General features: G+C 57.4%; 1 protein-coding gene across 8 annotated transcripts in view, besides 2 other annotated features; it reads right to left on the reverse strand.

Moving 5' to 3' along the window:
* PLEKHG5 (pleckstrin homology and RhoGEF domain containing G5) overlaps positions 1-15204 on the reverse strand; it is a 52971-nt gene that overhangs the window by 8304 nt on the left and 29463 nt on the right. For 4 of the 8 annotated variants that reach the window (NM_198681.4, NM_001042663.3, NM_001265592.2 and 1 more), the window contains 3 exons: positions 2104-2233; positions 506-611; positions 37-97 (listed from right to left, as the gene is read on the reverse strand). In NM_198681.4, coding sequence (NP_941374.3) covers positions 37-97; positions 506-611; positions 2104-2146 — 210 coding nt within the window. In that variant the 5' untranslated portion in view covers positions 2147-2233. Of the gene's footprint in view, positions 1-36; positions 98-505; positions 612-2103; positions 2234-9898; positions 10043-10410; positions 10527-15019; positions 15156-15204 lie in introns of those variants that run through there. The other 4 variants (NM_001265594.3, NM_001042664.2, NM_001042665.2 and 1 more) reach the window with 3 other exon arrangements.
* Positions 1338-2537: an enhancer, noted in NCBI's record as "MED14-independent group 3 enhancer chr1:6536823-6538022 (GRCh37/hg19 assembly coordinates)". NCBI's record gives its function as "activates an origin of replication core promoter dependent on BRD2, BRD4, P300/CBP and CDK7 cofactors, and independent of MED14, by STARR-seq in HCT116 cells {active_cell/tissue: HCT116}" and the evidence as "EXISTENCE:reporter gene assay evidence [ECO:0000049][PMID:35650434]".
* Positions 14533-14892: a silencer, noted in NCBI's record as "silent region_158". NCBI's record gives its function as "represses an Ori minimal core promoter by ATAC-STARR-seq in GM12878 lymphoblastoid cells {active_cell/tissue: GM12878}" and the evidence as "EXISTENCE:reporter gene assay evidence [ECO:0000049][PMID:35858748]".

Raw genomic sequence — 15204 nt, forward strand, 5'->3', positions numbered from 1 at the left:
GGAACCCGCATCTGCCGGCTCTGGGGGGCTCCTCACATCCGTGTGTCTCCTCCTTGCTTTCTTCTTGGAGAGTTTCAGGCCTGTGCTCTTCCGGTCCCTGCAGGGAAGCGAGGAGGGCAGAGGCTGGAGGTGTGGGTGGCCCTCGCCAGCGTGGGCGGCGAGTGGGCCTGTGGCCTCCCCGCCCTTGGCTCACCCCAGGTGACAGGTAACCCGCGTGGATTCAACCCGGCCAGGCCCGCATAGGGCTGTGCGCCCTCTGGTGGCCAACACGGGAGTCACATCGAACGGTACCTGGTCTGGTGTGGGCTAGGATCCCAAGCACCCTGGAGGCTGGCCCAGGCTGGGTGGCCTCTTCCCGGAGTCAGGACAGCCACAGGCGTGGGAAGAGGTCTGCCCATCAGCCTTACTTGAGGAAGGCGCCAGAGCATCTGGTCCTGAATGTCTGATCTGAGACCCAGCCGTGGGGCCCTCCAGGTATCTCTCTGCCCACTCATCCCTCACCTACCCTTTGCCATCCACAGAGCTCTCCTCCTCCTCCTCCTCCAAGTCCACTGCGGGGCTGGTGCGCGGCGGGCATGACCGGGTGGACACGTTCCGGGCCAGCACAGAGCCTTGGGAGAAAGCAGGAGAGGGTTGTGCCTCCCCCGCCCCTCCTTAGCCTGCAGCATGGCTGCCTCCAGAGGGACCACAGCCTGTTACCCTGGAACCCCCAGATTAAAGGTAGCAAGGGCCCTTCAGTTCTGTGAGGAGAGGGGCTCAGTCATTGTTTTTTGTTTTTGTTTTGAGATAGGGTCTCACTCTGTCACCCAGGCTGGAGTGCAGTGGCATGATCTCGGCTCACTGCAACCTCCACCTCCTGGGTTCAAGCAATTCTCATGCTTCAGCCTCTTGAGTAGCTGGGATTGCAGGCGTGTGCCACCACACCCGGCTCATTTTTTTGTATTTTTAGTAATGACAGGGTTTCAACATGTTGGCCAGGCTGTTCTCAAACTCCTGACCTGAAGTGATCCACCCACCTCAGCCTCCCAAAGGGCTGGGATTACAGGTGTGAGCCACCTTGCCTGGCCTTAGTCATTGCTGTCTATCCCCACAGACCCAAAAGGACACAAAGGCCCTGGGATGACACCCATGGTGAAGCTCCACCCCAAAAACAAACTCACCTGTGGCCTCAGTTTACCCTTCTATAAAATAAGGATAAGGAAGCCTTGCCTCTGAGGTTATTACAGGAAGGGACCAAAGTCCATGGCTCTTTCTTCCAGGCCTCCCCTCCCCCATGCTGTGACCACACCTGAATTCCCAAGGGGCCCTGGCAGTGGGAGAGAGTCTTTTGTTTGTTTATTGTTTTTTAAGACAGGGTCTTGCTCTGTCGCTCAGGCTGGAGTGCAGTGGCACGATCAGGGCTCACTGGAGCCTCCATTGTCGGGGTTCAAGCGATCCTTCCACCTCAGCCTCCGAGCAGCTGGGACCACAAGTGTGTGCCACCACACCTGGCTAATTTTTGTATTTTTTGTATTCCAGACATGAGCCACCGTGCCCAACCAGAAGAATCCTTTTGTTCCTCTGATCAGCTGGGAAAGGACTCGGGGGTTGGCATTTCTCACCAGGCCTGGGTGCCTGCGAGCCACTCCTCCATAGGCAGTTGATGGTGGGCCTGAGCTGGGTCCCTGCTCAGCAAGAGGAATTTCTTATTTCCTGCTCCAAGTGCCTCCTGACCTGGCCACCCCCACTCCACACTGCCTCTGCTAGGCCCACAGCCTGGCTTGCAGGACTTGTCCAGAAGTCCCCTGCCCTGAGGATAGGCAGAACTAGAAAGAAAGGGGCCTTCTCTGTGTGGGCCACAGGCCAGGGGCAAAAGCAGCTGGGGGAGGTGAGAACCAGTGAGAGCACAGCACCAGATAGAGAAAGGCCTGCCTCTGGAAGGGGCACGCTCATGGACTTTCTCTCTTGCTAAAAAACATTTGGAACAAAAGGAACCGTAACATACTCGGGTTTCATTATTTACAGTCGACTTGTCCTTATGACGCCCTAGCACGTTTCCGACAGTTACTGAAACACTGACACAGGAGCTCTGGGGGCCGAGCTGCGGCTCCCGCCTGTGCTCACCTTGTGGGGGAAGGTCGAAGCGGACATGCCCATCATAATGCATGGTGCTGTGGAACTTGCTGTCACAGGCCTCGCAGAGGTTGAGGGGCCCCCGGCGGTGCAGCTGCTGGCAGTCGGCGTGGTGACATACCTGGGGTGGGGACAGAAGCCTTCAGGAGGTCCACGAGATCCACCACATCCCTCGACCCCGGCCCAGCGCTGCAGGGACTTAGAATGAACTGCCCTCCATCTCTCGATCCAGGGTGAGGAGACGCCCCCCAGCAGTCCCCCCTCTCCCACATCATCAAGTTTCCCCTCTGCTGGATCATTTCCCCCACTGCCACACCAACACGTGGTTATTTCTCCATCTTTTTCTTTTTTTTCTTTTTCTGAGACAGAGTCTCATTCTGTCACCCAGACTGGAGTGCAATGGCTTGATCTCGGCTCACTGCAACCTCCGCCTCCTGGTTTCACGCAATTCTCCTGCCTCAGCCTCCCCAGTAGCTGGGATTACAGGCGCACACCACCATGCCCAGCTAATTTTTTTTTTGTATTTTTAGTAGAGACAGGGTTTCACTGTGTTGGCCAGACTGGTCTCGAATTCCTGACCTCGTGAACAGCCCGCCTGGGCCTCCCAAAGTGCTGGGATTACAGGCGTGAGCCACCGCGCCCGGCTTCTCCATCTTTTTTTTTCTTTCTTTCTTTGAGACAGGGAGTGCAGTGGCACAATCATGGCTCACTGCAGCCTTGACCTCCCAGACTCACGTGATCCTCGAGCCTCAGCCTCCCGAGTAGCTTGGACTAGAAGCACACACCACCATAGGCGAGTGTTTGTATTTTTTGTAGAGACGGGGTTTCACCATGTTGCCCAGGCTGGTCTCAAACTCCTGGCCTCAAGTGATCCGCCCACCTTGGTCTCCCAAAATGCTGGCATTACAGGCATGAGCTGCCACGCCCAGCCTTATTTCTCCATTTTACAGAGGCCTCACCTCACCCTCCAGCTACGGCTGACTTTCTTTCTTTCCCTTCACAGCTAAACTCTGTAAACAGGTATCAGTATTCACGACTTCCTAGTTCTCTCCTCCCACTCTCTTTATTTTTCCCAAGTTTTGTTTTAAAATATTTCTTTTCTTTTTATTTTTTTAAATTTTTCTGAGAAGGGGTCTCGCTCTGTTGCCCAGGCTGGAGTGCAATGGCACGATCTCAGCTCACTGCATCCTCCGCCTCCCGGGTTCAAGTGATTCTCCTGCCTCAGCCTCCCAAGTAGCTGAGATTACAGGCACAATCCACCACGCCCGACTAATTTTTGTATTTTTAGTAGAGACGGAGTTTCACCATGTTGGCCAGGTTGGTATTGAACTCCTGGTCTCAGGTGATCCGCCTGCCTCGGCCTCCCAAAGTGCTGGGATTACAGGCGTGAGCCACCGCGCCCAGACTTGTTTTAAAATATTTCAAACCTACCAAAAATTATAAGAATAGCACATGACATCCACATGCCCTCTGGACTCCCCAAGTTGATATCTACCACATCTGCTTCTCTCCCATTCTCTTCTCGGCACCCCCCTCCCCTGGGGCAGAAATCATGCTGCTGCCTAAGAACAAAGACAGTTTTCCTACAAAACCCCATAGAATTGTCGCACTTGGGAAACTGAACCTTGATATATAGTCTATATTGACATTTTCCCAAGTGTCTAAATAACGTTCTTACAGATATACTTCCTCATATAGGAACTAATCAAGTTTCACACGTGGCATTTGGTTATGTCTGTTTATCCTTTTTTTTTTTTTTTTTTTTTTGAGACGGAGTCTCGCTCTGTCGCCCAGGCTGGAGTGCAGTGGCGCGATCTCGACTCACTGCAAGCTCCGCCTCCTCGGTTCACACCATTCTCCTGCCTCAGCCTCCTGAGTAGCTGGGACTACAGGCGCCCGCCACCACGCCCGGCTAATTTTTTGTATTTTTGGTAGAGATGGGGTTTCACCGTGTTAGCCAGGATGGTCTCGATCTCCTGACCTCGTGATCCGCCCACCTCGGCCTCCCAAAGTGCTGGGATTACACGCGTGAGCCACCGTGCCCAGCCTTGTTTTTTGTGGTCTTTTATTACATTGACTTTTTTTTTTTCTTCAAGACAGGGTCTCGCTCTGTAGCCCAGGCTGGAGTAGTATGGCATGATCAGCTCACTGCAACCTCAACCTCCCGGACTCAAGTAATCCTCCTGCCTTAGCCTCCTTAGTAGCTGGGAATACTAGGTGCATGCCACTACGCCCAACTAACTTTTTTATTTTTAGTAGTGACAGATCTCACTATGTTGCCCAGGCTAGTCTTGAACTCCTGGGCTCAAGCAATCTGCCCGCCTTGACCTCCCAAAGAGCTGGGATTATAGGCATGAGCCACTGTGCCTGGCTGACCTTGACATTTTGGAAGTCTTCGAGCCAGCAGCCTCGCACAGAGCTCCTCAATGTGGATCTCCCTGGTGGTCCTCAGAAAGTTTCAAACTGAGCGTTCAGGCGGGGACACCACAGAGCTGTGTGTTCTTGCTATTTGCCTGTAATGCTGGATCCTCTGGGGACCTCTGTACCTTGTAGAGTCCCTTTTTCCCCTATAATTAATAAGTAATCTGTGGCATGGCACTTTGAGATGTCTTGTTCCCCAGTAATCTCACTCAATCAGTTGAGGTCAGGAGTTCAAGACCAGCCTGGCCAACATGACAAAACCCCATCTCTACTAAAAATATAAAAAATTGCCAGGCACGGTGGCTCATGCCTGTAATCCTAGCACTTTGGGAGGCCGAGGCGGGTGGATTGCCTGAGCTCAGGAGTTCGATAGCAGCCTGGGCAACACGGTGAAACCCCGTCTCTACTAAAATACAAAAAAATTAGCCAGTCGTGGCAGCGTACGCCTGTAGTCCCAGCTACTCAGGAGGCTGAGGCAGGAGAATTGCTTGAACCGGGGGCAGAGGTTGCAGTGAGCCGAGATCACACCACTGCACTCCAGCCTGAGTGACAGAGCGAGACTTTGTCTCCAAAAAAAAAAAAATTAGCCAGGCATGGTGATGTGAGCTTGCGGTCCTAAGAGCTTTAGCATACATAGATGATTTTAACCTAAATCAATTATTTGATTCTTCTGATGGCTGCAAGGTGGGGGATTTCCTTTTTTTTTTTGAGACAGGGTCTCACTCTGTCACCCAATCTGGAGTGCAGTGCCGCAATCTCGGCTCACTGCAACCTCTACCTCCTGGGTTCAAGTGATTCTCCTGCCTCACCGTCCCAAGTAGCTGGGACTACAGGCATGTACCACCATACCCAGCTAATTTTTAGTAGAGATAGGATTTCGCCATGTTGCACAGCCTGGTCTCGAACTCCTGGGCTCAACTGATCCGCCCGCCTCAGCCTCCCAAAGTGCTGGAATTAGTGCTGGGATTACAGGTGTGAGCCACCATATCAGCTTGGGGTCACTCTTGACATTCTCTGTTATGCCCCCATCTGGTCAGCCCGAAAATCCCGCTGGCTCCACCTTTAGTATCTGTGGCCTCAACCCAGCCACAGCTCATAAGCGTGCCACTGCCCAGCCACCTTTTAGCTAGATGACAACAATGGCCTCAAAACTGGCCTCACTGCTACCCCCATCCCCCACAATATGTTGTCCATGTGCAGCTAGAGTGGGCCCTGTTCAAAGAGGAGTCCCACTGTATCTACTCAAAACCCTCCAAGGGTTCCCATCTCACTCTGAATAAAAGCCAAAAGGGGCCAGGAGCAGTGGCTATGCCTGTAATCCCAGCACTTTGGGAGGCCGAGGCGGGCGGGTCACCTGAGGTTGGGAGTTCGAGACCAGCCTGACCAACATGGAAGAAACCCTGTCTCTACTAAAAATACAAAATTAGCTGGGCATGGTGGCGCATGCCTGTAATCCCAGCTACGCGGGAGGCTGAAGCAGGAGAATCGCTTGAATACGGGAGGCAGAGGTTGCAGTGAGCCGAGATTGTGCCATCGCACTCCAGCCTGGGGCAAAACTCCGTCTCAAAATAAATAAATAAATAAATAAATAAATAAATAAATAAATATATAAGTAAATAAAAAGGCCAGGCGCGGTGGCTCATGCCTGTAATCCCCAGCACTTTGGGAGGCTGAGGCAGGCGGATCACAAGGTCAGGAGATCAAGACCATCCTGGCTAACATGGTGAAACCCCGTCTCTACTAAAAACACAAAAACTTAGCCGGGCATGGTGGCACACGCCTGTAGTCCCAGCTACTCAGGAGGCTGAGGCAGGAGAATTGTTTGAACTCAGGAGGCAGAGGTTGCAGTGAGCTGAGATTGCGCCACTGCACTCCAGCCTGGGCTACAGGGAAGACATTATCTTAAAAAAAAAAAAAAGCCAAAAGGGTTAAGGTTAGGGTTTTCAGTCTTTTATGACATTGACTTTTTTTTTTTTTAGGGTTAAGGCCACCCCATTCAGGGACCTCCTGTCCTGCTCTTCCATCCTGGCTCACTCCCCTCACCCACTGGCCTCCTGGTCGTTCCGGGACACACTCCCTCAGGGCAGCTCCCACCTCTGAGCTGTGACATCTGCCAGTCCCTGGACTGAGATGCTTTTCCCCAGATATTGAAATGCATGGCTCCCTGCCTTCCCTCCCCTCCTGCTAGCTTCCCCCCAAGTCACCTTCTCATCCTCCTCATTCGCCCTCCACGCTCCTTTCCTGTCCTCAGCACTTTCCAGCACCTGACAGGTCACATATTCCACCCTGCTGCCTCCACACCTGGTCACATTCGCAAGGACAGAAATGTTACTCTGTCTGATTCAGCGCCTGACCTCCGGTCCCAGCTGCTCCATAAATCCTTGTTTCATTTATGAATTAAGGCAGGAGAGAGGCGCTGAAGAGTTTCTGGCTGGTGAAAGCCCGATGAGAGATTTCCGAGATAGGCGTGGTGAGGATAGCAGAGAAAGTGACAGGAGGGAGGAGGAGGCCGGGAAGAATCTGAGTGTGTTTTTAATGTGGTCGTCATGTGTCTGGAGCCACACTGGGGGCATTACATGTGTATCTCATCCCATAAGATAAGGGCTGTTATTGTCCCTGTTTCACACAAGAGGAAAGTAAAACTCAGAGAGGTGAAATGACTTGTCTAAGGTCACACAGCCAGTGGATCTAGGACTTGAAGCCACTGTGTGTGGGGCTCTGGATCCCAGATTATTATTTATTTATTTATGTATTTATTTATGTTTTTTGCGATAGAGTCTCGCTCTGTTGCCCAGGCTGGAGAGCAGTGGCATGATCTTGGCTCACTGCAACCTCCGCCTCCTGGGTTCAGACAATTCTCCTGTTTCAGCCTCCCAAGTAACTGGGACTACAAGCACACGCCACCACACCCAGGTAATTTTTGGATTTTGAGTAGAGACGGGGTTTCACCTTGTTGGTCAGGCTGGTCTTGAACACCTGCCCTCAGGTGATCCACCCACATCGGCCTCACCAAGTGCTGGGATTACAGGCGTGAGCCACGGCACCCAGACTGGATCCCAGATTTTAACCCACATTCACGCCCTCTCATGGGTGTCTTAGGAGCGAGAGGCTGGCCTCAGGTCAGCCGGGATTACGGGGACAGGAGGAAATCTATCTCAGTTTGATGCAAGCCCTGTTGGTTCTTGTGTCCCTCCGTGTCTCCATCTGACAGGAAAGGGAACAGGGCACAGGACTGGCAGTCGGCAGGTGGCACTCCAAGCAGGCCCACGTGCTCAGGGAGGGGCTGATCTGCATGGAGCTGGGCCCCAGGCAGGTGGCTGGGGACAGGATGACCCAGATTCCTGAAGGCAGCCTTGAGCACCAGGTGCCCCCACTTCTACACCCTTCAGGAGTGATCTTCAACTGTGCTTGTGGGGCTTGAAGTGAGGGTGATGGGATTGATCCCTCAACCCCTGCAGCTCTTTCTGGTTTCTGTCTTAATCTATCGTAAAACAAAGTGCAAAAACTCCAGCCCGGGCCACACAGTGAGATCCTGCCTCTACAAAAAACAAACAAAATTAGCCGGGTGTGGTGGCGCTCTCTTGTAGTCCCAGCTACTTGGGAGGCTGAGGTGGGAAGATTGCTGGAGCCCAGGAGGTTGAGGCTGCAGTGAGCCATGATCACATTGCTGCACTCCAGCCTGGGCGACACAGTGAGACCCCGTCTCAGAAAAAAATTTAAAAACTACAGAGACCACTAAGCTGTCCTCAGCCAGGGCTCTACCCACACCCTCACCCTGAATCCACAGCGCACTGCTGAGAGAAACATCAGGCTTTGCAGCTTCTGGGAGCCCAAGCTTCAGGTGTCTCCTCATGAGAATGATCTGGGGAAGGGCCCTGCCCCACCTTGTCCCCTCTTCCTGGGAGCCCCCCGTCTGCGGGCTCCGCAGCCCTCTGGCCCTCTGTGAACCCAGCCAGCATGGCAGAGGCTCCCAGCTCCAATCCCTTCCAGGCCTCCTGAGATTTCCTAGTGCCAGCTGGGGCGGCAGACCTGCCCATGACCCAAGCCCTGGTCTCACCGCAGGTAGGGGGTGACAAGGAAGGAGCCGTGCTAGGTCGGAGGAGTTCTGGGAGGGTCTCTGGGACCCTTCCAGTCCAAGTCTGACTCTGTGCCACCATCTTGTTTTTAAATCAATCCAATATACAGACAGCAGATTTGATACCCTGATTCGCTCCTTACGGAAGAGTCAGTATTCAACAAATACGGACTGAGCCCTATGACGCACCCCACCCTGGATCCCTTGAAAGCCTCGAGATCAGTTTCCCTGCTGTGATGGTCTGGGTGGCCACTACCATCACTGAGGCTGCTCGACTCCTCCAGCTGCTGCCAGGGGCTGGTGCCCAGGCCCGGCTGACCTCATCTGCTTCCCTCCTCTCAGCAGTCCCCAGGCTCAGGGGCACTGGGGGCACAGTGAGGCTCAGCCCCAGGATCTGAACCAGGTGGTTTCCGACTTCGTCGAGCAGATCTGGTTGACGATGAAGTTCTGGAAGCCCCCCGGGAGAACCATGAGCCCAACTGAGAAGCTGGGGTGGGCAGAGCTCCCTGGTGCAGTTTCTGCTCCCCGTTCTGCCTCACGTCCCACCCCCAAACCCCAGAGTCTCCCCAGCTCCCTCCAGAGGCAGGACTCCCCCAGCACTAGGGCGGAATGGCCCCTTCTTGAAGCCAGACTCCAGCCCCTTCTCTCAGACCCAACTGCCCCTCCCTCACCTGCCTGCCTGCCCACCATGTCCTGCCTCTGTCCTGCAGGAGGGACACCAGGGTCCGGGGGGGAATGTTCCCAGGTCTCAACCCAAGGGAGGAGAGAGCCCACCCATGGGAACAGCCAGCTCCCACCCCCTCTAACGCCAGGCAGCCAAAATAACAGAGGGGGGCCCTTTGGGGAATACACGCATGTGAGGATGGGGACAGAGAACCAGGCGTCCACCCTCACACAAGGGCTGGGGCCAGAGGCACAAGGAGAAACAGAGGCCTCTGGGGTAGGAGGAGGCTGTGGGCAGGGCCAGGGCAGAGGAAGGAAAGGAGAGGGGCGGCCCAGCATAGGGCCCGGGACCCACAGGTGTGTCCGGAGCTGGCCCCAGACACAAAGCGCCAAGAATTGGCGGGGACATCTCAGCCGGCGGGGACACACCCCGGAGTCCGAGGTCCCCGTCACCAGGGTGCAGCTGCCCAGGTAGGGGGCTCGGCCGCCATGGGCCGCATCCTTCCCCTGGGGGCCGCGGGGCCCATAGTCACGGGCACCCCCTCCCTGGCCTCCCGCACAGGACTGGGCGGCTGCAGGCGAGAACTGGGCACCCAGCCCCGTTCCCGCCCCGTCCCGGCCCCGTACCTGGCTATCACCGTCGCGGGCACGACCCCCGGCCCAGGAGGGCTCCGAGTCCCGGAGGGGCAGCCCCGGGCCCGGCCTGGAGGCTGCTAGGCGTCCGGAGACACCGGGTCCTGTCCCCATGGCGGCCGGAGGAAGCCGCGGTCTGCGCCGCCCGCCGGACAAAGCGCGGAGCCCCGCTTCCTGCCATTGTGCGGCCGCGCCCGCCCCCGCCGAGCGCGGGGACCCCGGGGAGGGCCGGGCCCGGAACAGCCCCCAGCCCCCCAGGAAGGCGGACACCTCCCTCCCGCCCGGGCCCTCGCCACCCAGCCCCGGGGATCCCCGCCTCCCCGCCCGGGAACCCCTACACCCCCGCCTCCGCCTGCCCGGGCGACCCCCCGCCTCCCCGCCTCTGCCCAGACCCGGGGACTCCACACCCCTACCTCTGCCCGGCCGGGGGACCCCCACAGCCCCGCCTCCGCCCAGTCCCCGGGACCCCCACCTTCCCACCTCTGCCTGGCCCGGGGTACCCCCACCTCTGCGCCTCTGCGCGGCCCCGGGCCCCTCTCTTCTCTGACTCCCTCCTCAACACCAATGCCGGGCTCAGAGGGCTCCTCAGAACTTGCTCTTTCTCCTGGGGAGCTCCTTGAATGCTGGAGGCAGGGGGCGCTGGTGACACCCCCCCCCACCTTGGAGACTGTGGAGCCCCTCCCCTGGGTGACTCGATCCCCGCCCAGCCCTGGGGGTGCCCACTCTGCTGTGGTCCCCACCTCACCCTCAGCGCCAACACGCACGGTCCCTCCCAGCCAGAAGGGTACCTTCCCTCCTCCCTTCCTCCTGGAGACCCCCACCCCCGCCTCGGAGCCTCAGCCCAGGGGACCCCTTCTTACTCCCAGCAAGGGAGCTCTTAGAATACAGGCACCAGAAGGGGGAGGCCAGGATGGGGCACACTCCCCTCAGGGTCCTTGGTCCGGCTCTCCATCTAGCCCCAGGGACACCCCTCTCTGCTCCAACACCAGCTTTGAGCCCCAGTCACACACCCACCCCAACCTCACAACCAGCTCTCATCTCAGCCCCTCCCATCAACCTGGAGACCCCTGCCCGAGAGCCTGAGCCCCAGGGACACCCCCTCACACCGACTGCTCACTGCCCAGGTACGGCAGAGGCCGAGAGCCAAAGGCCGGTGGCCTCTGGAAAGGGCCGTGGGCAGAAGGCGGGCTGCTCTGAGAGGCTATCCTTGGCAGCCCCCAGGAGCTGGGTGAGGTGGAGGCATCAGGAAACCCTGGCGACCCACATGGCACAGCAGCCCAGGTCCCTGCAGTTCTAGGCCAGGTCCCCACCGCCAGGGGGCACTCAGCAAAGCCTGAGAGGACGCAAACGCCCAGACTCTGGTGCTGGAGTCACCACTACACGGCTGTCAAAGCGCTTTTACACTGATTCCCAGGAAGGCAGGGCAGGCACCATTAGCCCCATTCACGGCGTGGGGGATAAAGTGACATAAAGAGACAAAAGTCTACAGGCAAGACTGAAACTCAGACTGTGGCTCTGGGATTCTGGGATGGCCTCCTTGGGACACTCCTCAGAACCCATGGGGGTGAGGTGGCCATGCTGTCTGTCATCAGCCCACCCACCCCTAATTGCTCCTCCTCCACCTGGTTCCATGGGGAAAGAGGGTGGGAAGGGGGCCAGGGTCCGTGAGATGGCTTTGGGAGGGCAGCAGCGTTTTATTAGAGGCTGGGAGACTTCCAGGGCTGTCTCCACTCCCAAAGCCCAGGTCACCCACTGTCTACACCACAGGCAGAGTTGTGTTTTTGTTTTTTGTTTGTTTGTTTTTGAGACGGAATCTTGCTCTGTCACTCACGTTGGAGTGCAGTGGCATGATCCCAGCTCACTACGACCTCCACCTCCCAGGTTCAAGTGATTCTTCTGCCTCAGCCTCCCCAGTAGCTGGGATTACAGGCGCCCGCCACTACACCCAGCTACTTTTTGTATTTTAGTAGAGATGGGGTTTCGCCATGTTGACCAGGCTGGTCACTAACTCCTGATCTCAAGTGATCCACCCCCACCTTGGCCTCCCAAAGTGCTGAGATTACAGGCATGAGCCACCACACCCGGCCAACAGGCAGAGTTTTGAAAACTAAAACTTCCCATCTTGCTTATAGTGAAATCCCACCATGGCCGGGCTCCCGCCTCCCTCCCAGCTGGTCCGCACAGGGTCCACCTGCCGGTCTTCCTTCTCTCCCTACAGCTCGCCAAGCTCAGGGCCTTCTCCTCTGTATTTTCTGTCTGGAATTCCACGCACCCTATCTTGAAACAGCTGACACCGGGCCCCAACTTAAATGTTACCTCTAAGACGTCCTTTTCCCTCATCTTAAAATAAACCACCCTTACCCTCCCACTCTCAATTCCTTTAAGTTAAATTATTTCCTTCTTAGTGTTTATTACTACCTGTAATTCATTTCTTTGTTCACTTTTTTATCATCATTCTTCCCTACCAGACTGTCCTCTCCAGAAGCCAGCGCCTTGGCCGTCTGCATCTCACTGTGTCCTCGGCACTTAGAACAGTCCTGGTGCACAGTAGGTGCGCTTGGTGGGGATGAGATCAGTGAACAGATGAAGGCAGAAGGGCCTTCATGCCACAGAAGGACATGGGGACAGGAAAGGGCTCGGCCAGGATATCCCTTCCTGTGGCCGACAGTCAACAGAGCCTTCCCCACTGCCAGACCGAAGGTCTCTTCCTCCTCCTAGTATCCATGACCTTGGGCCTGCTGGCCCTGGGCAGGTGAGTTCCTACTTCAAATCGGGTGGTCTTGCCCCAGACCTCCACCCCCATACTGTCCTGTAGGCAGATAACTGCATTTCACTGAGCATTCCATGTGCCACCCCATCGTGGGAGTTCCAGGCAGTGAATCCCATTCGCTCTTCTCAAAGACTCTTAGGAGGAGATACTGTTACAATCCCCATTTAACAGATAGAGAAACTAAGGCCTGTGTCAACTGACTTGCCCCAAAGTCACCAGCTGCTGCTACGTAGGGAAATGGGTGCCTCAGGCACAGGGCAGGCGTGGGGCCTGAAGACAGCTGAATGTTGGTTTGGGCAACAGGGCCCTGGAGATTGCCTTCCTGAAGACACGGCAGATCCCAAAGCCAGCTTGTGGGGAGCCCACCGGTGTGGGGTAACCAGGTTGCATCAAGTGGAGACCACCAGGGCTGGGTCAGGGCGGATCACCAGAGGTCACCTGAGTGCCTGGGCCCTGGCCATCCCTGAGTGAGGCTGCTGCCTGGGTACTCAGCAAGGGTGGGGGACTGTTCCTTAGGGGCAAGAGTGCAGAGCAGAAAGGAGCCCCCAGCCCCTGTACCAGGGCAGTGGGGTGGGCCTGGGCAGGCTCCTGCATTCCCACCTCCTCTCCACAGCAGGGAGCTGAAACAGCTCAGGGGCAGGCCCAAGAAGTCCTGGCCCCCAACTCCCTGGGGAGGGAGCCCCTCCCCAGCCCAGCCCCAGCTCCAGGCTTGTGAGTCAGGGCCGGCTTGTTGAAACTGATACCCAGAAACCAGATGCGGAGGCTGATGAATAATGGAGTCTCCAAGGCAGGACCCCCGCACCCGGCTGTTCTCCCTCAGTATCACCTCCCCCAGCCCCAGAAAAGCAGATGGGAAACCAGGGATCCCCCAGGCATCCCTGCCCCACAACGAGCTGGGGCCCCAGCCTGGTCTGGGTGGGAGAGGGACTTCCCTGTCCAGGAAAGGACGCAGGTCTGGGGCCAGCTCCAGGCTCTGCCGACAGCAGACGGGCCTGGAACCAGGAGTCCGAGCTCTCTGGCTGGAGGGATGTCCTTGCCAGGAATTCCCACCAAGGCTAAGCTCCCCTGGGAGCCTGCTAGTCCCAAGGCCCCACCCAACACCTTAGAAATCCAGGGGTGGAGACTGCATGCATGGGCAGGCCAGCCAGGGCGGGGTGGCTTTGCCAGGCGGCTCTCTACGCTCCACCCGGCCTACCCACCCTCCTTTCCCCTAGGCCCAGGCCTCACCCATCACCCCTTGGGTTCTGAGGCTCACCTGGAGTCAGAGCCTGACCTAAGGCCCTGCCCTGTGCCGGGCAGATGGCAGGGACACAGAAAACCTCTCCCCAGGCTAAGCCCACCGCACGGGCCCTGGAAGCCAGGAAGGCCCCTTCCTCCCCAGGGAGCGGTCCTGGCTAGTATGCCCAAGGCTGGGACCCAGTGCTAGAGAAAGAGGGAGGGGCTGCAGTCTGTGAACATCCCCTCCTGCCCAGCCTCTGCAGTTCCCAGCCCCAGACCCCAGCGTGTGTCTTCGGAGCACCTGGACTAGCAAGCCCTTCCCCGGTGCAACTTAGAAGCCTCCTTGGTAGGGAGCGGGGGAAAGAGGGCACCTGCCTGGGCTTCAGAAGACCTGGTCTGGAGCCTACGTTCCCCCACCCTTCCCCTACTGGGCCTCAATTTGCCCACCTGTGCCAAGAGGGCATAGAATTCAGTATCTGGGGATGGCTGCCAGGTCCTAGTGTGTGCCCGGACCCCGGCTAAAGGGCAGGAGAATGGTAAAATACCCCCGAGCTCCCTCAACTTGAGGAGTTACTAAGGAATCTGCAGGGGACCTCTTGGCCTCCATTTCCCAGACTTCCACCAAGGCAGGCCAGGGCCTCCCCGGATTCACGGGTCTCCCGCATCCCCCACCCCTAAGTGGGTGCCTGGGTCTGCTCAGACTGCCCGAGGCGCAGCCTCTGGCGCCCCCTGCCGGCCTCGAGAGGGCTTTTCCGCCTGGGACCGACTCCGGGACTGGCCAGATGGGGAGGATCGGCTGAGCCTCCCAGCCACGCCGCGCGCCCGGGCCCCTCCAGGATCCCCCTGCCCCGCCAATACCCCCCATACCGGGGCCAGGGTCCCATAGACTCCTCACGGCCCTATCTCCGAGCCGACCCACCCTAGAGACACTGTGATGGGGGCGGGAGCTTGAACCCATTCCACCCTCACGTAAATGGAGATACAGCTGGTGAGGACCCTGTACCCACCCACAGGCCTGGCACTACGTGGGAATCTCGAATCCGGGTTCTGTCCATCGGTTTAGGGGGGTCCTGGCGCCTAGTCCCACCCCCCGTCCGGAGCGCAGCTCCCACTTCCCCGCGACTCACCTAGGAACAGGACCAGGGTCTCCTCCCCGGTGTCTAAGGCTCTAAGGCTCGGGCCGAGACTGCCAAAGCCTCATGGGGCGCGCGGGGAGAGGGGGACGGGAGCCGCGGGACGGGCTCAGTCGACTCAGCGCAAACTGGGGCGCGGGACGTAGGGGAATTACGGTAGCCGCGCGGGCGCTACCACC

The sequence above is a fragment of the Homo sapiens genome, chromosome 1 (genome assembly GCF_000001405.40).
Source record: "Homo sapiens chromosome 1, GRCh38.p14 Primary Assembly".
Classification (NCBI taxonomy): domain Eukaryota; kingdom Metazoa; phylum Chordata; class Mammalia; order Primates; family Hominidae; genus Homo; species Homo sapiens.